This window comes from Homo sapiens, chromosome 12 (assembly GCF_000001405.40).
Source record: "Homo sapiens chromosome 12, GRCh38.p14 Primary Assembly".
Lineage (NCBI taxonomy): Eukaryota > Metazoa > Chordata > Mammalia > Primates > Hominidae > Homo > Homo sapiens.
Window position 1 is genome coordinate 65,846,858 of NC_000012.12, and position 27,816 is coordinate 65,874,673.

Sequence of the window (27,816 nt, forward strand, 5' to 3'; positions counted from 1 at the left end):
GCTCTAAAGAGATAACCTGATACCTGCCAGGTAGATTATTATTCTATGCTTCAGATGTTAGGAGGCTAAATTAAATTACAGTTTTCAAGTATTTTGAGCTCTTTAGAATTTAAGTCCTTCCATAGAAGTAATTATATTGCTTTCCAAATCCTAATGACACACTATTTGAATTTACCTATATTAACACCATAATTTGAATGTTCATGTATATGTATACATACATACTATATATATACACACACACACTTATATATGATATATGAATTGGTTGTGCTATGTGCTGTGTGCCTGGGGTTACATTCTCTCATTATCTTCACAGCAAATATATAAGCTAATACAAAATGTATACAGATTTGATTTATCAAAGTAGTCAAATTTCATCTAGTTAGTATTGGGTTAAAAAGATGGGTGTTAAATCGTCAGGTACAGGCTCCAAAAAGAGGGAGAAAAAGGGAATCAGAAAAAAACAGGAAAATTCTGTTGAGCCATTTAACATATGGTGACCTTATTTTTCCTCTTTGTGCATACTCAATATAATTTATGCTTATCAAATAATTTTTAAATCACCAGGTCTTATAGCAACTTAATTATATACTTTAATATTTCTGAATAGTGCAGCCCTTTGTGTTTTAAAATGAGCTCTTTGAGGGTTGGGTGCATATCTCCTATTTATCTTTTTAACCTCAGCACCTAGGACATAGGAGGGAATTCAGCAAAGTGATTAAGAGCTCAGACTGCCTGGGTTCAGGTATCAGCTTAATCAAGGCAAGTTGTTGATCATCCCAGCCCCAGTTTCCCTGTGTGTAAAACAAAGGGTAATCATAGTTTTTGTCTGGTAGGATTGTTTCATAAGAATTAAATGAGAAGCCATCAAAAAAACTTTATTCAGCATGTGTCAAGCTCTCAATAGGTCATAATTGTTGATGTTAGTACAGTCTCAGGCCCATAATGGTGCTTACTAAATGTTCGGTGAGTAGGATGACAGTTTTTCTTTAGTGTGTATAAAGGATGGCCTTTGAATTTTTGTTTTCCAGTAATGAATGTGGATTTGAATTACATTCTTTGACTTAAAAAAATCCAAACTAATGATTTGTATTTCCAAAGAGGCTACAGCAGGTTTTTTTTAAAAAGCACAACCTATAGGCATCAAAGCAGTATTTGTAATAATTTTGAATTCCATCTTATGCCTCTCCACTAAAGAAGTAAGCTGCTAGCCACTATCACCCAGGCCCAATAGAAACTTCGAATGTCTTGCCCTATGTTAATGTTTCCATTCCCTCACTCCTGGAAATAGCATTCTGCTTTCCAAAATAGACTCTTATGCTGTACCTTAGAAGGATTTTTGTCACAATTTTGGATCATCAGAAAAACAGAAGACAGCTTTATTGGCCAAACCTCATGAACTAATTTTCTAAGGTAGTTTCTCTTTCTCTCTCTCTTTTTACAAAAACTTATTTTAATGGCCTATTTGTGTCCCATTTTCTTTCTGTTAATTTTTAGTACTAACATGAGAATAAAGAAAAGTAAAAAGTCAATTACTCTATTTGTTTCTTTCAAGGGCATTTGAAAGCACTTAAAGTGATACATTAAGGCAGTAGGGTGTACAACTAAAGATTTACTGGGGACAACAACCTGAAATCCTAGGCTTATGTCAACATGGGAGTAAGTACTTCAGTTAGAATAATAGCTAGCAATGTTACATAACTTAAAAGTTTAAGGCCGGGTGCGGTGGCTCACGCCTGTAATCCCAGCACTTTGGGAGGCCGAGGCGGGTGGATCATGAGGTCAGGAGATCGAGACCATCCTGGCTAACAAGGTGAAACCCCGTCTCTACTAAAAATACAAAAAATTAGCCGGGCGCGGTGGCGGGCGCCTGTAGTCCCAGCTACTCGGGAGGCTGAGGCAGGAGAATGGCGTGAACCCGGGAGGCGGAGCTTGCAGTGAGCCGAGATTGCGCCACTGCAGTCCGCAGTCCGACCTGGGCGACAGAGCGAGACTCCGTCTCAAAAAAAAAAAAAGTTTAAGCATTACCAATAACGGAAGTGCAGGTTTACCAAGTTCCCAGAAAACCCAAATATCTTCAATATTAAGGCAGTTCCCCAGTGCAGGAAGCACTAAATCCCAAGAAGGTGAGATAATAACTGTATGTGCATGGAGGAACATGGACTCATACGATTATGGTTGGTAATGTTCTAGAAAGCACTGTTTGTTTTGCGGTCCCTTATTATTTCCTGTTCAGAATGATTCTGATGTCAGAAAAGATACATCCTACGCAGTTTGTGTCAGAAGCTGATCCTCGAGTGTAATTTCCTTATTACAGGGTCTCTGTCCCTACATTTTCTTTCCTGCCATTATTCTCTCAGGTAGTCCAACTTCAGTATTCCTTAAATTCTCTAGTGGAAACTTGATGAGGCATTTGCATGCCTGGGCCCACTCTCCTAGGGGTGGAGTTAGAATGTATGAACATGGCCATCTCTGTGTCCCCTCATTCTCTTGAGAGATGGACATTCTTGGCACTGGATGCACACCTTATAAGTTTTAAGGAAAGGATGAAAAGGCAATGAGTGATAATGCTGTCCATCTTATAACATGTTCATTCTGTGCTATTAATCTAAAATTTCTCTTTTAAGAGAAAGTATAGTTTGATTTACAAATCAATAAATAAATCCCTTATTCCCCTTTCATATCTTTGGACTACATATTTTCCATATATATTTGGTGAAAAATATCTCATTCCCAGTCCTAATTCTCCTTATTATAATTTCTTACATAGCAATGTGGTAGAGCTTAATGACATTGTTTGGATTTGCTATTGAGATTTTCCTAAATGAGAGTGGTCATCTCCAGACTACCAAACCAAGACAATGGTAGGCTCTGTATTTTTTTTTTTTTTTTTTTTTTTTGAGGCTGGAGTGCAATGGCGCGATCCTGGCTTACTGCAACCTCCGCCTCCCGGGTTCAGGCGATTCTTAAGCCACAGCCTCTCGAGTAGCTGGGATTACAGGTGCCTGCCACCACGCCTGGCTAATTTTTGTATTTTTAGTAGAGACAGGGTTTCACCATGTTGGCCAGGCTGGTCTCAAACTCCTGACCTCAAATGGTCCGCCTGCTTCAGCCTCCCATAGTGCTGGGATTACAGGCGTGAGCCACTGTGCCTAGCCTCTATTTTTTATTTAGTATTGCCCTTCCTCTATTGGTGGTTGAATTTTTTGTGGATATTAAAATTTGTCATCAAATCAGCCAGGCTTAAAGTTTTGTGCCTTCCATCCTGTTTAGACAATTGATGAGCTACATAAAACCATTTAAAATCCATAATTTTATAAGCAATAAATAGGTAATTTTTTCTAACATGTAGTCCCCCTCGCTATTAAATCACTCATCTTAGTGGAGATCAGTTGGGATCCTTTTCAACTGTTAAGACCTATGGGAACAAAGCTGTTACAGCTATGACCCTATTTGCACTGTTGGAAGTTCTTAGGGAGCCACAGTATTTACAGGAAACTAATTCACACTAAACTCACTTGTACTGCATTGTTTCCTGCTATGATAAAGCAAATGGGTTATGTATATTATTGCTTTAATAGAATGATCAATGCACTTAGATTGTGTAGTGTGAGAGAGCTTGGCCTTACATAGTCACAGTATGAAGAGACCGAATTTTTTTTTTTTTTTACTAAAAAAAAAGACTTTTCTGCTGGGATTGTAATAATGTGGTAAGTATTCAGACTTACTATTTGCTATCTTTGAAACAAATATATTACAATAAACATTTAGAGAAGCTGACATTTTATATCCATAAGGCAAACACAAAATTTCCCAATTTGTATGAAAATTTGGGTGTTTTATCCTGTGCTTTTATTTATTTTTTTATTTTTGAGTCTGAGATATTTTTGTGTCCAAGAAAATGTTTAGATTAATTCACTTGCAGTCTTGAAGTTATCTTTGGTAGAAAAACATCCTTATGTGTATGAAAAAAGCAATTTAGAAAGGAGATTTCATGAGCATCCTTGACAGTGGTGTACAAGTTTAATCGTCTTTCCTGTGACAGGAGGGTCTTCATGTATTCAACCTAGAATTTCTCCTTTTACGGTTCTTAGTCCATTTCCTCTTGTCTTGTTCTTAATGGTGACAGAGAACATCTGCTATGTTCCTCTTCAAAATATATCTTCCTACTTGGGGTACTGTAAAGTGTACGTACTTTGGGTCTTAACATATCTGCATTTGAGTCTGAACCTTATCACTTACTAACCTTAGGCCTTTGTTACCTCTCTGAGACTAAATTTCTTCTTTTGTGAAATGAGGCTGGTAATATCTCCATTGTAGTTTCAGCTAAAGTATCCAGTACCTAGTAAATGCTCAAAATACCATTATTTTGGCCTGGCACAGTGGCTCAGGCCTGTAATTCCAGCACTTTCGGAGGCCGAGGCAGGTCAATCACTTGAGGTCAGGAGTTCGAGACCAGCCTGGCCAACAAGGTGAAACCCCATCTCTACTAAAAATACAAAAAATTAGCCGGGTGTGGTGGCGCATGCCTGTAATCCTAGCTACTTGGGAGGCTGAAGCCGGAGAATCACTTGAACCTGGGAGGCAGAGGTTGCAGTGAGCTGAGATTGCACCATGGCACTCCAGCCTGGGTGACAAGAGCGAAACTCCATCTCAAAAACAAAAACAAAAACCAAGAAATTAGACAGCTGTGGTGGCGGGCACCTGTAATTCCAGCGAGCAGCTTGAACTCAGGAGGCGGAGTTTGGAGTGAGCCAAGATCATGCCACTGCCTGGGCAACAAAGCGAGACTCTGTCTCAAAACAACAACAACAACAAAAAATCATTAGTTTTAAACCCTGTGAAAATATGTTGTCAGCTTTCCATTTTCCACAATAACATTCCCAAGTCTTTCTCACTATGTCCTGTTTTTCTAACCCACTAATCACGGTTCTGAATGAGACTTCAAATGATATGGTAGATGGAACACTACGTTCGTGATGAAAGGCCTTTCTGACTTGCATTCTGACTTAATGAATTTCTAGCTTTGTGACCTTGGACAGGTGACTTATCCTTGAACCTGCTTGCTCTTATGTAAAAGAGGGATAATAATTGTCATATCTTCTTTGTCTTCCTGTCTGGGTTGTGGTCAGAATAATATAAGAAAGTAATTTGTACTTTGTACAAATTTGTACAAGGTACAGTTTGTACAAATAATAATTTGTACAAATAATTTGAAAGTAATTTGTACTTTGTACAAATTTGTACAAAGTACAATTTGTGCAAATAATTTGTACAAATAATTTGTACAAATAAAGCACCTTGCAATCATAAGGTAACAGCAGTAAGTATCAGCAATTAAAATTTCATACACTAGCTGGATGCGGGGGCTCACGCCTACAATCCCAGCACCTGGGGAGGCCAAGGCAGGTGGATCACCTGAGGTCAGGAGTTCGAGACCTGCCTGGCCAACATGGTGAAACCCCATCTCTACTAAAGAAAAAAATACAAAAATTAGCTGAGCATGGTGGCGCGCTGCTGTAATCCCAGCTACTCGGGAGACTGAGGCCAAAGAATCTCTTGAACTCGGGAGGTGGAGGTTGCAGTGAGCTGAGATTGCACCACTGTACTCTGGCCTGGGTGACAGAGCGAGACTCTGTTTCAAAAAATAATAATAATAATAATTAAAATTTCATATACTACAATAGGGTGAATGAAATTGTTCCTGTTATTTATATAACTTCTAACACTTAGCTTGCTATCTTCAGCTTTTCCCTTGTCTTATCTAATGGTTTATGAGGCATTTACTCTTTTTCCATTTCCATCTGCTCTTATGGTTGAAAGGCTAAAACTGACAACTTTCAGATGTATCACAGAGACATATCAAAAGAATTCCAACATGAAAGGTATTGGGTTCATGTGCAGAAGTAGTGAATAAATAAGCAGGGTTGGGTGAGGTTAAGAGAGTGCCACATGATCTATGTGGTAATAAATAGGTGAAGTGCCCAGGAGAGAGAGATGAGCAGAAGAGACCTCTCCAGTAGTAGACATTGAAGAGGAGGATTTTAGAATTCGTCTCTTAAGACATTCACTGCCAAGTTCCAACAGAACATCATGGACAAAACATATCTAAATGAGAAGGAAACTTTGGGACATTGAGGATGGCTTGGAGTGGAAATGACCTGGAAGGTTGCAGTGATCCCAGGCAGGAGAGGACAATGGCCGTGTCTGCAGTGGTACAGTCTGAGGGGGAAGGTTGCCGACTGACGTGTGGGGAACTGGGAGTGTGGCACTGGAGAAGACCAGTTGGAAAATTGATTGTCCTGGCTGTGACAGCTGAACCATGAGGACTGTCTAAGAGCACTGAAACTGGGGAGAAAAGAAAGTAGCCTGGACATGGTAATGCTTAAATGAATACTTACATGTGATACCGTAATTATCAACAGATTTAAAATCTGTTGAATATACTGTTCAAGTTTAAATCTGTTGAATATACTGTTCAAGTTTATAGAAGCAAGAAACTTCCCCCCATATTTGTACTGTATTAATCTTTTGGTTTCCTTGCCTCAATTCAGTTTTGTTTCATATTTAATTATGGGGCTGAAAGTACATAAGTTTGAGTAGTCTAGAGTGGAATGTGGTTAAATATCCCTGCAGATTACTTTATGTGTTTCAGTATTCTAATAAAATCAGCCGCAGTGATCCATATGGGATTTGTAGATGCTGTTTTCCCGAGGCCCTTTTCTCTATGGCTGTCTGTGACCTTAGCCATTGACTCGCTTAATCGTTTTTGGCCTCCTAAGTCAGTGATTCTGAGCGGGCAGAGTGGTAATGTGATGTCATGTCTGGGGCATGAGCCTGCATCCTCGCCGCACAGGGGTCCCACCCTTCCTGGTCTAGGCAGCTCAATGCACAGTGCTTGGCGCATCGTGAGTGCTCAATAAATTCAGTTGCTTTTCCCGTCTCTCTCTGGATCTCAAATAGAAATATCCAAATTTGAGAATGCCACCAAAGCATTAAGTTCCCTAATTAAAGTCCATAGTAAAAGCTGAGGCAGATGTGTGGGAATGCAGTTCCAGACACTGTAGTTAATCTAGGAGAGATGATCGCACTGTATTTACAACAAGGCTTCCCATGCTCATGAATCATAAGAACTCTTACAGGATTAATGAGTTTTAACTTAATGCAGAATTTTTAAACTATGTGTAATGCTGGGACATTTCAAAGTGTTTGTCATGAAAAATGGCTGATGAAGGTACACATTTCGAGATATCCTGTGTTCCACCTACGTTGTTTGTTATCTTGTTGACATCTTCTGTTCCTTTTACAAAAAGGTCAGAAGGAAGTCCCTCCACATTTTCTGTAGATTGCTAGATAAGAGAAACATCAATATAGAAAGGAACATTTTGATAGCCTTACACATTTATGTTTTTCAAAATAAAAAAATTCTTTAAATAAAACTTTCTTTCGTGCCCTTTCTCTGGTAGAGAGAAAAATTAGCCCCCTTTTCTTTCAGAGACGTGCCTTGTGGGCTTTGACCAGTTTTCCCCTAATGCTGGCATTTTGTAAAACTGTAGAACAAGATCTCAATTAGGATGTTGACATTCACACAATCCATTCATCGCGATTAGATTTCCCCAGTTTCGCATGTACTTATTTGTGTGTGTGTATGTGTGAGCATCAAGTTATATACAACTTTATCACATGTAGGTTCATGTATTCACTACCAAAGGTATTATTATTTTTTAAGTTCCAGGGTGCATGTGCAGGATGTGCAGGTTTGTTACATAGGTAAATGTGTGCCATGGTGGTTTGCTGCATCTATCAACCCATCAGCTAGGTATTAAGCCCAACATGCATTAGCTATTCTTCCTGATGCTCTCCCTCCCCACTCCGGTATTCTTTTAAGACTGTCAGTTGCTCAGGAGTTTGTGGCACATCCCATGATGACATACACTAAATTTGTCTTCTCTAAGTACACAAGAACTTTGCATGACTGTAGGAATGTGGGGAGAGGAATTCTGGCCCATGGTTCCTGTCTTTGGCTGTGCAGTTACTCTTTCACATTCCCTCATTATAAAGGTCTGGCTGGCCCTGGCAAAATCATAGGTGGGCTTTGCACACAGCTAACTGCTTGCCTGAAGTAACTTACACTTTTGTACTGCATTCAGAGTTCTGCCAACTTCAGAGGCCAGGAAAGAAAGAAAGGATTGGCCTGGGAGTGTAACACACCTGCTTTTCCTGAAGGCACATACAACAGGCGTATTTGAGTACCTGCTTGCCCTTTGGGATATATTGAAACACATGCCTGTTTCGTCCTGAAGTTGTGGATGAATACCTTCATCCCCTGGAAATTCCTTGTTTCACATAGATTTTAAATGTCCTTGCGGGCAGATATTCACTGAGAAAACTGTCCTGTTAATTGTACTTTGGCTATCTGGCCCAGTCTCTAGAACAATTATAGTAGAACCATGTCATCTTGACACATTTAGGAAGATCCACATTTGAGAATGCCACTGTAATGTTTAGGTTCCCCAAATAAAAATTTCATATTACAACTATGTCTCTCTCTTTCCTTTCTCTCTCCCTCTCTTTCTCTTTCTCTCTCTCTCTCTCTCTCACACACACACACACACACACACACACACACAGAGCAAAGCTGTGCTAAGATGCAAACACTAGGCAGATGGCCAAGTTGCCCCTCCAGGCTAAATGTCTCAGGCCTGCACTCTAGTCTGAGAAAAAATGGATTTGCAAACAGTTCAAACTGTGAATATTAACATTTAAGAATGGCCAAGGTCTATTGCATTCCACTAGTCACTCTTAGAATCTGAGTGTTTGTTTAGGTAACCAGAACACAGATGATGATGATGATGATGATGATGATGATGATGATGATAATGATTGATCATAATAACTGAAGAGTAAAACACTATCAATGTGATCATTATGGGATTCTTTTGGAGAATACATTTAGTATATTTGGACCAAAAGCCCTGTTGGATCCTAAATCCCAGCTATGCTGTGGCATACAAAGAGCTGTTTTTTCTTTTTTTTTTTTTGGACTAATGCTTTTTGACTATTGGCACTTCAAATATCTACGAATTACAAGTGATATTCTTTATTTTTGGTGGTAACTATTATCTTATTTAAACAAAAATCATGCTTTTGAATCAGCTGTAGACATTTTTGACAATCTTGGAAGTGCAGAAAAAGTTATATTTGAAAGAAAATAATTATAGAATATCAGCATATGCTGCTGTTGCTTCCATAGCAAACTCCTTTGGGCCTTACTCAACCAAAATAAATGTGGCCACATTGCTGCAGTAAGCATGGCTTGAGGCAAATGGAAGACTGCAGTTCTGTTTCCTGTGTCCTGCTTTCTGTCCCTGAGGTCCAAGCAATGCCAGAACAGTGAATTTGAAAGTATTAAAATGTTGGTCTGTGTGGTCCTTGGTCTTCCCATCTATAAAGCTAGACTTGGTGTAGAGATTATATAGTTAAATCCTCTTATATTCTACAGGTGACAAAATGAAAACCCAGAGCAATTGTGTCCAGTTCAAGGCCACACAACCTTGTTAGCTCTGACAAGAGCCAGGTTTCCTGACTTCTAGTCCATTGCTTTTCCCTGTAGCGAGCCGCTTCCTCTTGCCTCACCCGATCTTCCTTGGATTTCCATTGGGAATGTTGACCACAGTTCTGATAAATCTCTTCCTTCAGGTCCTGTGTTAGTTTCTTCAGGGCTGCCATAACAAAGTGCCACAAACTTGGGTGCTTTACCACAACAGAAATTTGCTCTTTCACAGTCTGGAAACTGGAAGTCTGACATCATGGTGTTGGCAGGGCCGTGCTCTCCCTGAAGGCTCTAGGGAAGAATCTGTTCCATCTCTTTCCCTTCACTTCTGGTGCTGTTGGTGATCCTTGATGCTCCTTGGCTTTTAGATGCATTGCTCCATTCTCTGCCTTGGTTGCCACATGGTGGTAACAGCAGTTCCTGTGTGTCTGTGTCTCTTTTCCTCTTATAAGGACACCAGCCATATTTGATTAGGGCCCACCCCACTGACTTCATCCTACCTTGATTATATCTGCCAAGACCTTATTTCCAAATAAAGTCACATTCATAGAGACAAGGTGGGTTAGGGCTTCACTATATCTTTTTAGGGGACACAATTCAACCCATAACAGTTCTTTATAACTTTAAACCTGTTAGAACCAGGCTGGTATTTGTAATGCATAATGAGAAACTGCAGTGAATTTCATTAAGTGTAAAGCATCATATCCAACATTTGTAGTTTGTTACAATAACACATTCAAAAGATTTATAGACTGCTTTTGGTGTGATTTTTGGATTAATTCCCTCTTTTGAAGACATTTGTTGGGCTTAGTTTATTTTAAGGAAGGAATGAATAGACCTGAAAACACCTAATTTTTATTTTCAATTTAGCCTGGAAGCTAGCAAAAGCTTTTGCAGAGAACTGAAACTGTGTCACAGAGCACCAGCACTGTATTTGTTATCATTTTGGCCTTCAGTTTTATTAATGCTTGTTTGATGTGTTAAGCCCCTAGCTAAGACAAAAAGACAGAACTTTAGGGTTTTTGTTTGTTTTAGCAGTAATAAAGTCTAGAATAAAATGTTTGCTCTATAATATTTAATGGTGTGTATTCAATTTTTAAACCAAAATTTAAAAGAAAGAAATCCCATTCTCATTCAGCACTGTCAAATGTATTCATTCCCCCAGACTTCACTGGTTGAATATAATAATTTGTGTGTATAAACAGTCTTCCTGACTGCATTCTCTTTAATATTCATTTATCAATTTGGGAGGAAATTTCCAAATAACCTTTATTTGCACCTTAAAAAAATAGTTTTAAACGAAGTCATGGGAATGGATTGCTCTGTCTTTTACTGACTTTTATATATGTGATTCCAAACCTCCCTTTAAATTAATGTCTTTTAGCTTCAAATATACCTCTTCCCATAAGGCTAGTCCCCATTTCCTATAATCTTACAGACCTAGGAGAACAATATTTTCCCTTCTGTCGTTTTGATAATTACATCCTCTGTGCTCAGTGGTGGCCTATTAACTCACATGAATACCATGGGCTTGCAAAATGGCCTCAAATTTCCATATATTGGAACTGTGAGAACTTTCTATAATGGTGCTTTAGCAATAATGATGGAGGTGCAGGCATTTCCTGAGGATTAATGACCAGCTGGGAGGAACCAGTGGCCCTTGGCTCTGCCTCCCAGCCAGCCATTAATTCTAAGGAAATGTCTTTTGCTGAGGTCGTTACTGCTATTATAAGCTTAAAATGGAAAAACATAATAGGCATATGAGTTATTTTTATGGGTTGATGCAGTTTCCAATGGTGTGTACTAATTTGAGAAAATGAATGTGTATACATACAAGAGTAAGTCAGATTGTTAGACTCATCCCTCAGTATTCCATATGTTTTGTGACTGATTTTACAGTTCTCTCTACCTTTCTCATTTACAAAAAAAAAAAAGAAAAGAAAATTTGATTCAGCAATTCCTAAAAGTATTGTATTCAGTGACATCTTTGGAAACACCAGTTTCTGTTATCAACTTCAAATAATAGTCAAGTTTTATGTATGATCTAAAGGGAAAACAAGTTTGTTTTTCAATCCTGTGATAATTTTTCTTTTAGAATGAAGTGTTGCAAGAAATGAAAAATTAAAAAAACCACTCTGTAACAATTTTGCTGTGCTTCTTTGATTTTTCTCTGTTTTTGTTTAATGGGTACCTTATATTTGTACCTTTACATATTGAATTCATGAGAGAGTTATGCACAGCCTAGTTATTTGACATTCCAGGGGTTTAAAAAAATGTATATTAAATATTGCAGTAATGGTGAATGCTTTAACATAAAACCACAAAAAACCTCCTAAAAATAAAGCCAAAGAGTCTAAATCTCGCTCACTGTGCTTCTTTCTGATTATTTTTAAAAGGCAGCCCTTCTTGTACAGTATTTCTACTTTTTATTCTAATCAACTGGACTGTTGCATTATTTTTATGTAGATTGCTAACAAGGTTTTTGAAGAAACACTCTTAAAAGTCATAAAAGGGAAAATCTTGACAGTTCTGGGATATTGCCACCCTTGACCTTTTGGAGAAATGTAGACAGCATCTCCCAGGCATGACGCCTAGGGATCGTGTTTATCTGTCATCAGTTGGTGACTCCATGTTTATTGAGCACTGGCTATAAGCCAGACTTGGTGAGGGACTGAAACAATTACAAGACACAGTTCTGCACTGGAAGAAATAGGAATCAACCTAAGATTTCCTGTCCTGCTAGGTCATCAGGTTCCTGTCCCACTACTTTCCTTCCTCTACCAAATTCACTTATAGCCTCCAAGTAGTGTAACTATCAATAGCACCCCTTTCACTCCCCAAAGTGTCCTAATTTGGAGAGTAAGTTGTATGATCACCCTACCTACAGTCTGCCTGTTTTCCAATGCACACTTTGTCTCTCCCCTGCTCTTGTTACATGTGTGTCCTGAGGCCACTTCCAGATTGTTCTTCCTCTGTCATTACTCCAGCATGTCATTGCTTTGCTCAGAAACTGCTAACTGGGTCTTCATTTGTGGTTAAATAATACCATTTTTCTTATATACATGTAGCCGAAAGCTCTATTTCCAATATGGAAATAACTAAGAGTAAACATCCTATTCCATGAACAGGACGAACACTTTCTCACCTTCACTTTTACCTGCAATTTCCTTCTTCCATTTTCAGCTGCTTAAAATCTTCTTTAATCTTCAAAGTCCAGTTTAGACAGCACCTTTTATGAATTAGCTCCTTACTGCCCTAGTCAGAAGTGGGCTGTCTCATCCTTGTAGGAGGGTAAACACGCATTGCAGATGCTTCTCAACTTGCCATGGGGTTATGTCCTGATACACTCATTGGAAGTTGAAAATATCATCAGTCAAAAATGCATTTAGGCCGTGTGCAGTGGCTTACTCTTGTAGTCCCAGCATTTTGGGAGCCTGAGATGGGAGGATTGCTTGAGCCCAGGAGTTTGAGACCAGCCTGGGCAATATAGTAATGCCCCATCTCTAAAAAAAAAAAAAAAATTAAAAATTAGCCAGGTGTGTGGTGGCACACACCTATAGTCCCAGCTACTCGGGAGGCTGAGGTGGGAAAATGCTTGAGCCTGGCATGTCTAGCCTTCAGTGAGCCATGACTGTGCTACTGCACTCCAGCCTGGGCAACAGAGCAAGACTCTGTCTGAAAAGAAAAGAAAAGAAAAGAGAAAAGGAAAAAGGGCATTTAAGACATCTCACCTACTGAACATCCTAGCTTCGCCTAGCCTACCTTAAATATGCTCAGAACAGTTACACTGCCTACAGTCTGAGAATATTTACATTAAATATGCTCGGAACACTTACATTGGCCTACAGTCATCTTACACAAAGCCTGTTTTATAAGAAAGTGTTGAATATCTCATGTAACTTACTGAATACTGTACTGAAAGTGAAAAACAGAATGGTTGTATGGATATTTGAAGTATAATTTCTACTGAACGTGTATCACTTTCACACCATCGTAAAGCCAAAAAATTCCAGTCAGGCCATCATAGGTCAGGGACTGTCTGTATGAATGCCTTGCTTTCATTATAGCATTCTCCATTTTCTCTTGTACTGGTAATTTTTGAACAGTTATCTTTACCAGTTTTGTAAACTCCTTGAGAACAGTTTTGCATTTTCTTCAAAACCTAGGACTGTGGTATACAGTAACCGCTTAATACAATATTTGTTAAATGAAGAACAAAAAATACGTGGCTAGGCTACTCAGGTCATTCCCACAAAATGATTTCTTTAAACTGCGTAATTGGAAGTTTTTGTTTTTTCAAAAAAGTATGTCCACAGTATTATGTCATTAATTACTATACCCTGAGGAATTACTGCTGCTGCTAATCTCTTGGATTCAGTACTTAGAGACATAAATATAAGTGACATTAGCACTGCTACTGTTCAATGAGATTACAAAATAGAAAGTAGACATAGAAGCAGATGTTGGAAAATATTCTCAAAGATAACAAAATGTAGAATATCTTACTAGGCCTGGTTCAGGGACATAGGCTAAGCTGAAGCTGCCACACATGGTGTTTGACTTCATGGCACACTTTTCTGCAGAACTGGAAAAAGATGTGTCTACTTTGGGGCATTTTCTTCAAAATTAAGAAAAAAACGTGTCTATGATTGATTTTAAAAAAGATAATTTAGGCCAGGTGTGGTGGCTCATGCCTATAATCCCAGCACTTTGAGAGGCCAAGGCAGGTGGATCACGAGGTCTGGAGTTCGAGACCATCCTGGCCAACATGGTGAAACTCTGTCTCTACTGAAAATACAAAAAATGAGCGGGCATGGTGACACATGCCTGTGGTCCCAGCTACTTGGGAGGCTGAGGCAGGAGAATCGCTTGAACCTGGGAGGTGGAGGTTGCAGTGAGCCCAGATCGTGCCACCGCACCTCCAGCCTGGCGACAGAGCAAGACTCCGTCTCAAAACAAAACAAAACAAAACAAAACAAAAAAAGGTAATTTAAGAAAACAATACATGCTATTGTATTGGATGGATAAAACAGAGCGTTCCATGTGACAAAACCTGTATGTAAACGTATTTCTTATTTTTTAATCATCATTTTATATATGTGGGTCACTATGGAACACTGCGTTCAGAAAATAAATTACTTTTCTTTTTCAAAATATTGCATTGGTAGTTTCATCTCGTTTTAGGTAATATTGATTTATCCTAAATTGGTAAAAAAAAAAAAAAAAAACCTAGATACTATATATATTTAATTTAAGCACCTTGTAGTTCCATGGAAAACAAACTGATAAAATTTTAAGAGTAAATTGAGTAAATAAATATAGATTATACTTAAATTTTTTTTCTCTCTGTGAACTGGCTTTAAAGATATGCTTTAACATTTAATATAACAACATATTTTTGAAAAAAAAATCCGTTTTTGTGCAACATGTTTCTTTTTTTTTTTTTTTGGAATGAAGTTTCGCTCTTGTTGCCCAGGCTGGAGCGCAATGGCGCGATCTCGGCTCACTGCAACCTCTGCCTCCCCAGTTCAAGCGATTCTCCTGCTTCAGCCTCCTGAGTATCTGGGATTACAGGCGCCCACCACCACGCCCGGCTAATTTTCGTTTATTTAGTAGAGACGGGGTTTCACCATGTTGATCAGGCTGGTCTTAGTCTTCTGACCTCAGGTGATCCACCCGCCTCGGCCTCCCAAAGTGCTGGGATTACAGGTGTGAGCCACCACGCCTGGCTGTGCAACATGTTTCTAAGTGAACAGTATGACTTCAGAGAGTCATACTGTTTTAAGAGAGTTAACAAAAGAATAAGCATTGGATATACTTACCTTTTTTCAGATGTTATAACAAATTTACCAAAATGCACCATACACACACACACACACACACACACACACACATTCCATAACTTCAAACAACAGAAAATGGGATTCTGTCTGTCTCTGTGTCCCACAATCAGTACCACCACCACTACTACAGTTTGCTTTTATTATAGTATTATCAATTTTCTGCAAATAAGCCTAAATGTCTTAGGTAGTTCTACATTTTTATATTACACAGTAATTGAGGAAAAACTAAATATTTTTGAAAGTGCATTTAAAATACTACTTTAGAACAATTAATCTACTTGGGTGTACAAAATGAAAGCCAGTTGTTAGAAATCTCTTATACTACAAAAATTAAAAAAGTGTTAAGCATCAAGGATTAGACCTGGACTAGAAGTATGTGTCACTTGGTGGATGACCATGCAACTCAAGAAGAGGAAGAGTGGATTTAGAATTCAAGATAGAGATGAAACACTCATGTACTTAGTGTGTGTGAAGTTTAGGAGAGGGAGCTGAGCTGATGGAGCCATGGGTCACAGTAGCTGAAGCCATGGCTGTGGATAAAGATCCCAAGAGAATGTGGAAAATGAAATGTGATATAGAAAGTGGAGAAGAAAGGGAATATGGGGACCACTGCACACAAAGGAGATAATATAGGTTGTCAACTGCCAACGGCAGTATGTGGACCAGTGGTCTTTACCACATCCTTCTCCAGCTGTCCCACCGTCCACACGAACTTACGCATGCTTCCCTTGCTCTACCCACCCATGCTCAGCTCATGGTAATTGGCATGGCTGTTTCATATCTATTAGGTCACTAGACTGAGCTTACCACTGGGATAATCAACAACAGCAGTGAACCCTAAATCCTGACGACACTATCAGCACTTAAGTAGAGCTGGGGAATGAAACTAGAATTCTTTTGGGGCCAGATCATTAACTCATATCTAGTGACACCCCATTTTGCCTCTGGAAAAGTTAAGGTTTTGTTGTGCAATTAGCTTTACAGAATGGAGCATTTCTGTTGGTTTACTAAAACTGTTAAGCCAAAATAGGGCACAAGTGCAAGTCCTGGCTCCAGAAGTTGGCTGTACCTTCCTTTCTGCAGTACAAGGTGAACATCTGTAAAGAAGAATGCAATGTCCCGGGTGTGTTTAAACTGACTGCCTTGGCCTCAAACTAAAACTGTTAAGCCAAAACAGGGCACAAGTGCAAGTCCTGGTTCCCGAAATTGACTGCACCTTCCTTTCTGCAGTATGAGGTGAACATCTGTAAAGAGGAGTACAGTGTCCCTGGTGTGTTTACACTGACTGCCTTGTTTTCAAGGATCATTAGATTTCAAAGAAAAAAAAATCACAACAATATCCTTTGCATGGACCAGATGATGAGAAACTAAATTGTAATTTGGGATTCATTCACAAGAAAAGTCCTGAATGGTTTTCCCATGGACAGGATCTTGGAGGTTAGGAATACCAAATCCTGTGCCCAGCTCAGTCTCACTGACTAGGGAATGTTGTCTTTAGACTACAGAAGTCGCAACCCTCACCCCAAAACATGAAGTATTCAAACCTTTTGAAGGGTGTGATGTTTCCAGGTAATTTGGCTTGGCACAGGAATTGCATTTATGCCCAACTTTGGCTAAGCGATTTTAGTAGTCCAGCAAAAATGCTCTGTTCTGTAAAGGTAATTGCAAAACAATATCTTCATTTCTCCAGATGGAAAATGGGATATGAAAATCCACCAAAGGAAAGAAATATCATTTCCCGCACTGTGGCTCTGCAATCTTAGAAGGGTTCCATGAATATTATGTATGTGCAGTAAACATTTATGACCTTATTTAGGTCCAAGCAGCATGAGGGATTTTGTGCTAGTAGTTGTTGATGAGCACTACAAATAGGGATCCTTTATATCTGAGGTATCCATAGTAACTAAGTAGGGCCCATTTCCATCGTGCTTATTTGCTTCCAACCTGCCAACCATGCTTAGACTCTGAGGGCTCCAGGATTCCTAATTCATAAAAAAAACACCCCAGAGAGGTGGGTAAGTGCTTTTCAGAAAAAGCAAACTTAAGCAAGTGATTTTAAGAGATTTGAAGAGTGCTACATGGCAGCCAAGATGATAATTTTTTGGCCCAAATATAAATTTAATTGAGTAGTGTTATAAAGACAAAATTACATAGCCAGAAACAGAATTATGAGCATTAGGAAAATAATAGTGTTGTCTTCCATCTCCTTGAAATCCCCTGTTATGTTACTCACTCCACTGTTGACTATTTTGTAGATAGCACACATTCACCTTGCATTTGGCAGAGAACACCAGCTTTGCTATGAATGCTCACAATTTTTGTAATACAGGGAAATATTTAACATACTAGGAAAAAAAGGTTTAAATTCATTAACATTACTATTGTAATGTTCATATACTCCTCTTTTCTTAGGACACACTACAAATGATTTTATAGTGTTTCCATTTAACACACATAGTAGCTTTTCTTCTGGATTGTATGTGCAGTGCCATTGAACAGAAGCATAAAATTGTCAGTGGCCTACATTTTTTAGATTATTTAACTATGATTAGAAATATTTTGATCCATTTTTTCACTTCAGCTCTTTTTCATATTAGTGCACACTTGACCCTTGAACAATACAGGTTTGAGCTGGACGGGTCCACTTATATGCAGATTTCTTTCAGTGAAAGTTACACTGAGTGCTTCTGCCTCTCCTGCCTCCTCTTCCACCTCTTCTCCCTCTTCTGCCTCTGTTACCCCTGAAACAGCAAGACCAACCCCTCCTCATCCTCAGCCTCCTCAACATGAAGACAGTAAAGATGAAAACCTTTATGATGATCCATTTCTACTTAATGAGTAGTGAACAAATTTTCTCTCTTGCTTGTCTTATTTTTTTGTAGTTTACATGTAGTTTGTAAGGATGCAGTATATAATAATATCACATACAAAATATGTGTTAATCGACTGTGTTATCAGTAAGGCTTGCAGTCAACAGTAGGCTATTAGCAGTTAAGTTTTGTGGAGTCAAAAGTTTTGCGTGGATTTTTGTTGGATTTCTGACTTCACAGGGAGTCAGTGCCCCAACCCCTGCATTGTTGAAGGGTCAATTGTATTTTTGTCTGATTTCATGAGGGTGAACTTTTTATACTATACTTTTACAGATAGAAATGAAAGTACTTAGTAATAATTGAACATATGTACAGTAAAAATATTATAGCTGTTGTTTTAAAATAATTGTATTAAATTGAAACTTAAGTTAGTCTTCAGGCTTTTTAAGGTTTTCAAATTTGAACTGGAATGCAATTCAGAATGTGCTAGAATAACATTTCTCCATTTCTCCAGTGTCAAGATGGGAAGGCATACATTCTAAGCGTCTGTATCTCCATCTATTTTTCTTTTTTTTTTTTTTTTTTTGAGACAGAGTCTCGCTCTGTCACCCAGGCTGGAGTGCAGTGGCTCAATCTCGGCTCACTGCAAACTCCGTCTCCCAGGTTCACACCATTCTCCTGCCTCAGCCTCCCGAGTAGCTGGGACTACAGGCACCTGCCACCACGCCCGGCTAATTTTTTTTTTTTTGGTATTTTTAGTAGAAACGGGGTTTCATCATGTTAGCCAGGATGGTGTCGATCTCCTGACCTCGTGATCTGCCCATCTTGGCCTCCCAATGTGCTGGGATTACAGGCATGAGCCACCACGCCTAGCCATCCCCATCTATTTTTCACTAATATTCAAGCTAGAGTTGCTGGCTAAAATGATGGAGCATCAGAATTTGTGAACTCTGGGAATCATAGCAAGTGTATAACTATAATTCCTTTGTGTCTAAGGAGGGTGGACCTCTATATTAGAGAGAAGATTTACAAACGTTGGGGAAAAAATGGAAATTGAGACTGACTCCTAAGGAAACATCTGTTCACTCACTCAGCAAACATTTAGCCCACTCTGCTAATGCTAGGCACTGTGCTAGATATTTGGAGAGACACTGGAGAAAACTTAAGGTCCCTAGTCTTGTGGCTCTTACATTCTAGAGAGGGATTATAAATGACGGCGTAGTTATTAAAAAAATACAGATGATGATTTCAAGCCTTATAAGAGCAAAGAAGAAAAGTGAACCAAGTTAATGTAATGGAGAGTATTGGAGTAGGCGAGGCTGCTTTAGATCAGAGAGTCTGGGTGGACTTGATGGAGGAGGTCATGGATAGCCTTGCAGCTGGTAGACCTGTGGGCAACATTAACAGCAGATAGGACAAGAGGGTTAGGGGCTAACTGAGCATTCACCTTTGTCTTCTTTTTCCCCTCGGTTATGAGTGTGACAAGGCGGAACATCCAAGGGATATGTTGCAGGTGTCTTAAGAGTCAGGTAAAAGGCAAGATGATTCATTATATCTGTTCTTTTTGTGATACCCATGTAACTACCTATAAGCTTCAAAGTGAAATAAACATTACCTCTTGTACCTTAGCCCGCTTCTCATTCTTCATTACAAATTTAAGAAGGCAGTTATTAATGTGAATAGTCATTCTTCTTTTCAGCAGTGCCAACTTTAAAAAAAAAAATCACTAACACTTACCTGAGATGCAGCTGACATGTACCAAGATTGCTTGCCATTGCCCTCTCAACCCATCTGAGTCAAATTTTTCTTTCTGCTGCTGTTTTCCTTCTGCTGCCATTTTTCTTTCTGCTGCTGTCAAGATAGGAACATGTGCCTTCCCATCTTGACACTGGTAGAGAGAGAGATTGAGAGATTGAAGGGGGAGAAATCAGTTCTGATTTTCTAGTTTCTAAACACTGCAGAAGAACAAAGTAGAGAAGAAAGAGGAGAGTGTGTGAGGAAAGAAATGGCAAGAGGTACATGAGATAACTTAGCAGGGAGTTAAATAACTAGCTCACATAATGACAAAAAAACATTGACACTAAATTGAGGGCCTGCCATTTTTGTTAACTGGTATCCCTGAATGTGGCTAATGGCACAAGCTACGTAGAAACAGGCCCTTGTCCTGTTTTTGCAATGAGCAGAAATCTAGCCCACTGAGACATCGAGTTCTTTTCTAACTTTTTGCTCTGTTGAGAACATCTTTGCTTTTGGATACAAAGGCAGCATGAAAATCTGGAGGCCTTCTCAGGAAGGGGAACTTCTAGGAACTTAATCTGTTAGTGGGAAAGCCAGGAACCAGCACACTTGGAGTGTCATCTGAGCAGGAGGAGTTAGAATTGGCTGGCCAGTTTTCCCTTAATGAGTGTTTATTATGTTTAAGCTACAGAACTAATTACTGTGAAAAGACATAAAGGAATGAGAAGACCAAAACCGTATCCTCATGATACTGACAAATCAGTTGGACTGAGCACACATGAATCAACTGAAGAACACTTCTGCCAAGTTCAAGTTGTGTAAAAGTGGAGGATATGAGTCTTGTGGGGACACAGAGTTGAGGCATGAGCTATTAGTCAGAGCCGTAAGGCTGCCTGCAGGAGAAGAACTTTGGATGGAGTTTTGAAGGAAGTGAGGAAAAGATCTGAATTAACGTATTAACACATAAAGCTTGTCATCTGAACAGGACTATAAGCATCTCGAGGGTAAGAACGTGCCTTTTCTTTCTTACACATTCCCAGAAGACCCACATTCCTCATTGGGCTCTCTGTAACAGTATTTACTAAGCACTTGAATAACTGGACATGGGCACCATGTTGCTAAGTTGATTAAAGGTTGGTCTTCCACTCTGCCACTGGCCACAGCACAAAGTGAAAACAGATGTCACAAGCACCTTGTAGATCTGTCCCTTTTTTCTTCTGATGTTCACCCTCCTTTTGAGCTCTTTCTTTCTCCAACATTGCTTACAAAATAATCTTTATGCATCTGAGAGGGAGCAAATATTCAGTAACTTTCTGCAGCTGTCCTCACTAAAGAGGAGAATCTGTTGAATGCCACTGGAAATGTAAGGATCTCTTGTGACAGTAACATCTCAAGGGGAAACTAGTGGTTAAATTGTTAATTCTTTGAGTCTGAAACTTTTTTCATTTGCAGTGCAGATAAGTGCCTGATCTTGCAGTATCACGTTTCTGACTTCTTTGTTCTGGCTTCATTTTTTTTTTCCCAAAATGCCATTTTCATTTGTTCTTAGAGTTCAGAACATGTCAAAGAGCTTCTTTAAGCAGTAGGTGGTTTTACAGAGCCCACAGAGAAGGAAAACTAAATATCATCCCGGATGCAGTCCACTACGATCGTGGAGGAGTCAGATTACTCTCCGGGCTTTGCTGTGTCTGCTTGTGAAACAGGAAAGGGAGAACTGAGGCAATGAGTCACCTCACTTGGGCCCAAAGCACCACCTACGTTGAATATGGAGAAAATGTGAAGCAAGAGTTTCTTTTTATACATAATCACCATTTGTACATAATCACCATTTTCTCCATGGTTCTTATCCAATTCAGTGCATCTTAAAGGATGGTTTGTGGAATCATGACATAGCAGAAAAATCCAGGTACTATCAGTCTTGCCTGTTTCTACCTAACTCTTTCATTTAAACTCTCACTAGAATCTATAGGAACTGTTAGCATCAATTTTAATAAGTTGTCAACTAAGTGATTAGTGGTATTTATTGGTTATTTTTGACAAAATAATGGAATCATCAAATTTTGAAGTTGAGAAGTAAAGTAAAAATTTGTGCCAAACCCCAAATGTAGACAAGGTCATATTATAAACATTAATGCTGTCCCAAACTGCCAATGCATTGCGTAGAACTGAGGTTAGCAGGTTACCATTGATTTCCTCTACTTATGCTTTAAGAGGTTGGCATTGGTAAGCCGCTACACTTTCTTGGTCAATGAGGCAGAAACCCCTTTGCAAAACTCTCAACTGATGAAAAGATTAGCTAGAATGACTCTAGGAACTGTTTTCTAAGGATCTGACTCATTGATTCCTTTTTTTGGTAGGGTTCTCTGGGCCAAGTTAGTTCGAGTATTTATCATTTAAATTAGGAAATTACCATCACCATCATCATGTACATTCATAAATCAAAGCAAGATTAGAGAAGGAATATGGTGGATCACAGAGCAACTCAGAAAGACGACAGCAACAACTAGGAAATGAAACACCATGGTTGTATTTCAGGAACCCTACCCAGCAGATAGGAATTACCATAGCTCCTAAAATTCCATCTGGGTGGTTGATGGAGCCTCAATTAATCTGACACCATAGCCCATGCTCCCCTCTTGCTACCTGCTGAAGTTAGCAGGGAAAAGTCAAAGAGGGTGCTGTCAGTGGGGTCAATTCTTAGGGATCATAGTGAACCACCCTCCATTGCACTGACTCTTTCCCACAAAATGGGCTAGAGATAGCAGCTCTCCTTATGTATTTAAGAAAGAATGGTCAAAAAATACAATTCACATTTTATTCTGGTATATACCATTTTGACAGTGTTTCACAATGTAGGTAATATGAATGGGAGTATTTAAACACAATCCTGTTTAATATTCTTAGCCAGTACTTATTAAATGCCTACCAAGCCTGGCATTGTTCTAGAGACCTCAAAATACACCTTTAAAAACATATTTTATTGACAGTTGTATAAATGAAGAAAACAAGTCTCAGAAAATTAAAGTGACTTGCACAGATACACAAGCTAGAAAGTAATAAAACTGAATTTTGAACCCAGGTTTGTCAGACTCTAAAGTCCATGATTTTCTGCTCCATGTGGCCAACCCAGTTAGAAAGGTTATAAAAAATCTTAACAGTTTTTCAGCCCTTCTCACACTTAGCTTTAGGATTAAAAGTATTGGTCATGATTTGCAAAAAAAAAAAAAGTAGTGCACAATATTCCAGCTATATTCAATAAACATTTGTTGAATACAACGTATGTATATACAGGTCATTGTTACAGGTCTGTGTATAAGTAAACACAATATGGTCCTTAGCTTTAAGACCTTTCAGTCTAGGGGTAGATATGCATGTGCATACAACTTCTGTTTATTTTTGAATTTCAACTATGTGTCAGGTGTTAGGCTGAGCACATTATGAACATTGTCTTGATTTATTATTTAACCTTGTACGAGCCTTGTAAGGTAGTGGTTTTCGAAATATTTTTGCCAAAATGTAAATAGTAAAAAACAATATGTGAAGCCTTTATTCCAACTAGGTAAAATAAGGAAGGCTTTACAAAGGAGATGAATGACACTTCAGCTGAGCCCTAAAGAATGAATAGGATTCTAATAGAACAGCTGGGGGCAGGCGTGGTGGCTCACACCTGTAATCCCAGCACTTTGGGAGGCCGAGGCAGGCAGATCACCTTAGGTCAGGAGTTCGAGACCAGCCTGGCCACCATGCAAAAGCCCGTCTCTACTAAAAATACAAAAATTAGCCAGGCGTGGTGGCACATGCCTGTAATCCCAGCTACTTGGAGGCTGAGGCAGGAGAATCACTTGAACCCACGAGGTTGAGGTTTCAGTGAGCCGAGATCGTGCCACTGCACTCTAGCCTGGGCAGGGGGAGACTCCATCTAAAAACAAAACAAAACAAAACAGCTGGAAGATGACATCCCTGGGACAGGGACTTCCATGTCATGTGAAAAGTAGGAGTAAATCAATGGAGGCAGGGAAATGTAGGGTGTATTTAGGTAAGAGCAGCTAGTTTGGATTGGATAGTGTACATTAGAGACATACCATGGGTGAGGGGGTGGATGTGGACAGTGAACCTAAACGCTTTGTGGTAGCAGGTCACAGGGGCCGTGCATACATGCTTAAGGAGATTGGATGTTACAGGAAATGGGAAGCTATTAAAGATTTCTAAGCAAGAGAATGACAGGTCAAATCCGACATGATTTAGAAAAAACGTAGGCTCAGTCAGAAGCCATAGTCTAATGACCAATGCATCATAATTACTTGCTACACTAATTTTCTTCTTTAGAAGTCAGCTTTTAAGATATGTGTTTATAATACAGATTTATACAGTTTTACATGGTTGAAACAAAGAATAATAATATTTATTATGTAAGATTCAAATTTCAGTATCAACAAATAAAGTATTCCTGGGCCCAGCCGCACCTATTGGTTCACGTATTGTCTATACCTGCTTTCCTACTACAGTGGCAGAGCTGAGTACCTGCCACAGAGACCGTCTGCCCAACAAAGCCTGAATTATTTACTCTCCAACCCTTAAGAGAAGAAGGTTGCTGACTCCTGCTCTATTGTGTCTTTCTGGCCCTCTTAATCCATTTATATAGGTTTCTTCCTTTTGTGTGTGAATGGAAAATGAATTTAAGTTCATTAGTAGAAGCAAGACACCTTTAGCTTGGCCTCCAGGTATTATTTGTTTTCCTTCTCATGAGAATTTTGAATGTTCTATATCTAGATTCTCGAGGCTAAAGAATAATGAAGCAGAAAATGTTTTCTCCATTACTATATCCCCTTCCTATGGGGATTCTGAAGGTGCGGTTTTCCCTCTAGGTGAGAGAACTACATTCCTTTCCTAGGCAGATTCCATTTTAGTTCACACTCAGGCTGTCAGATGCACAGAACAATGTCACATGGGCTTCTTAAGACCTCTTAAAAATCACTTCCAGTTTGACTTCTGCCCATACTTTACTCTGTTAGTTTTCCTCAGAAAGGCTTGGCAATAGCAGAATAATCTTTGATTACCAACAATATATTTAATTTTCCTATTTGATAGGCTGATGCCGCAGAAAATAACCAATTGCCTTCTGTGCTTTGTAGCTTTGTGCTCCACTGCATCATCACTTTCTTGGGTTTAGGGGTCTGTGGGCATAGCAAAAGGTGTGACAGCCTGTCCTTGTTAGACTGAAGCCAGTCTGAAGTGGCAGGGAGGCAACAGGATGCCAGCCAAATGAAACATATGCTCCAGATCTTTCATCCAGTCCGGAGCCTAGTGTGACTTGGCTTCTGCCCCCTTCATCCTTCCTAGGGTCCCCCTACACAAAATCCTCTAAATAAGGTTGCCAGTAACCTCTTAACTGCCAAATCCAGGGGACACTTCTCAGTCCCCGTCCTGATGTCTCTTCTGAAATATCTGACACATCAGCCGTGCCTCCTTATTTCACACTTGCCTTCCTTGGATGCCTGAAGGTAAACCTGTCCTGTGTTTCTTCTCTTGTCAAGAAGTTCCTTGCACCCGGGAGGCTCTTCTTTCTCTACCTGCCCTCTGCACGTCGCTCGTCTCCAGGGTTATATCTGAGGTCCTCTATTTTTCATTCCATGTGTTCATTCTGAGTTAGCTCTGTGGTATCTGTGTTTCAGTCACTGCCTGCATTGACTGACTGTATTCGTAGCTTATCTGAGTGCCATCATACACCCGGTCATCCTTGACTTGTCAGTCTCCATTTTCAACATTTGCAAAGTTCTGCCATTTATTACTCCTAAAGGTGCCTGGAGCTATATGTTTTGAGTTTTCTTTTCCTACATTCCCACTGCCACATTCTTTGTACAAGTCTTTATCATCTCTCACTTAAACTATTTGCACCAGCCTCCTACTAGTTTTCCTGCCGCCTCTACTTTTCTTTGTCCAGCTTACCTCCATTATCACTGCAAGTGTTTTCTTCAGAACAGACACTTTATCACTCTCCTGCCAAACATTTTCAATGACTACCATTCACCCAAGGAAGTCTGAACTTCTTATGTTGATTATAGCATTGGGCCTAGTTTCTAATCTTGCCTCCTACTACCCACCAGTTGAAATCTTCACTTCCTTAGGACAGAAAGACCCGTTTTTCTGAAACTTCCATTAGGTCTTTCACATCTGTGCTCTGGTTGGTATAGTCTTTACCTTTACTTCCATTTGGACCAATCTCAACACATCTCCCAAGACCCAGTTCAAATACGGTGCCCCCGCCAACCTCTCTTGAAATTATTTCCTTCCTGTTTGCCTCATGGGAATTTGCACACACCTGAGGTAAAGGACTTTTACCCGTCTACTATAATTATTTGTTTACATGTTTTTCATGCATGAAACTATGTCTCATCTATCTTTGTATTTTCAATACAGAGCATAGTGTGTGTCTTATAAAAAGTATCCAAAGAATGAATGTGTCCAAGCCATGTGTCTGCACCTGTACCATGAGCTCTCTAGGTTCTGTTGTCTGGTGTGTTACAAATAAATAATGCTTTCAGCACCAAATACGGCAGCCATCAGCAGAAATGGCTTATTTCCTTTTCTCAATATTTTTTTCGTACTGAATCTAGGCTAAGTGTAGATGGCTATAGATAGTCATTCATGAAGTCAAATGCACCAGTGGGATTGGAGGATAGTATTTATTTTAGAAAAAAAGAAAGAAGGAAAAGAGGAGAGATGTCCAGTGTCACTATTAGTGAACCACATATATTATACTTTAATTTCCCTTATAAATATGAAAAGAGCTTGGTAGAAAGTAAGATATATAAAGCATGTCTACATGTGTTTTATGATGTGTATACATATATGTATGTAGATACATACATATATTTAAATGTGACCATTATCACATTACTCTGTTATATTTTATTATATTCATCCTCACAAAATTCATTGTTAAAGACAGGGAACTGAGGATTTGTTTTCAAGTCTTGCTTGTGGTATTTGCCCGTGCTTGCACAAGAGTAACAATAATGGCAGAATCATTTATTAGATGACTGAAAAGAGCAGGCACACATGGAGGTTTAACATATGGTCGCTGTCCTTATGGAATTCAAAAATCAGACACCAAAAAAGGTAGGTAACAATATAGGGCAGTTTGAGGTATGCCAATTAATGGCCCACAGTTAGTGAGATTTTGTTTTTTATCTCTCTATAGCCTACTATTGCACTTTGCACACACTGGATAAACATCTGCTGAATGAGTGGACAATAAAACAGAAGCAAATTTGTACTAATTTTTCAATTATGTTTTCTTCCTTGTATGCATTATTGTTGACACCAGCTTGTTGGGAATAAGAGTAAGAATTTATCCTTTACAGTTTCATAGATCTCATTTATCACCTACAAGAAAAGAAAACTTATTTTTGTTTTATAAACTTAAAATGTAAATTAATAAATATATAATATAAATAATAAAGCTATATAAATAATAGATATATGTAATACACAGAATTTAAAGCTATATAAAGTCTACTACTTAGTTGAAGACTTTGTCAGTCTTGCTGAGACACATTGAGTGAAAATATATATAAAAACCTTTAATGATGTGAGGTGAATACTCAAGAAATTTTAATCATCTTCTTTTCAGTGGTAACGAATTACGCTCATACAACAAAGCCTAGGTTTCCAGCAGGAGGGAAACCATTTGAAGATGTGGTGCCCTTTAGAAATTGTTTAGAATCTTTTCAGAAGGAGGTGTAGTGTGACTCCAGGTGCCTCTCTAGGGTTGTTGAAGTGAGTGCAGGTGACCTCTATGTACTTGTTCTTCAAGCTGCTTTATAATAAGCAGCTTGCTACCCTGATTTACCCGCAGAACCACCTTAAG

At 39.1% G+C, this 27,816-nt stretch overlaps 1 protein-coding gene and 1 long non-coding RNA gene across 7 annotated transcripts in view, besides 2 other annotated features; one reads left to right on the forward strand and one right to left on the reverse strand.

Moving 5' to 3' along the window:
* The window catches only part of HMGA2 (high mobility group AT-hook 2), a 141,832-nt gene that overhangs the window by 22,398 nt on the left and 91,618 nt on the right, over nucleotides 1-27,816 (forward strand). The gene's annotated exons all lie outside the window — the stretch shown is intronic.
* The window catches only part of HMGA2-AS1 (HMGA2 antisense RNA 1), a 31,099-nt gene continuing 7,652 nt past the window's right edge, over nucleotides 4,370-27,816 (reverse strand). The window contains exons 2-3 of one of the 3 annotated variants that reach the window (NR_158985.1): nucleotides 19,947-20,097; nucleotides 4,370-4,795 (exon numbers count right to left, since the gene is read on the reverse strand). This is a non-coding gene — a long non-coding RNA (HMGA2 antisense RNA 1). Of the gene's footprint in view, nucleotides 4,796-9,089; nucleotides 13,232-19,946; nucleotides 20,098-26,954; nucleotides 27,333-27,816 lie in introns of those variants that run through there. The other 2 variants (NR_158984.1, NR_120478.1) reach the window with 2 other exon arrangements.
* Nucleotides 13,918-14,118: a silencer, noted in NCBI's record as "peak1769 fragment used in MPRA reporter construct". NCBI's record gives its function as "represses an SCP1 promoter by STARR-seq MPRAs in K562 erythroleukemia cells {active_cell/tissue: K562}" and the evidence as "EXISTENCE:reporter gene assay evidence [ECO:0000049][PMID:32103011]".
* Nucleotides 22,078-22,278: a silencer, noted in NCBI's record as "peak1770 fragment used in MPRA reporter construct". NCBI's record gives its function as "represses an SCP1 promoter by STARR-seq MPRAs in K562 erythroleukemia cells {active_cell/tissue: K562}" and the evidence as "EXISTENCE:reporter gene assay evidence [ECO:0000049][PMID:32103011]".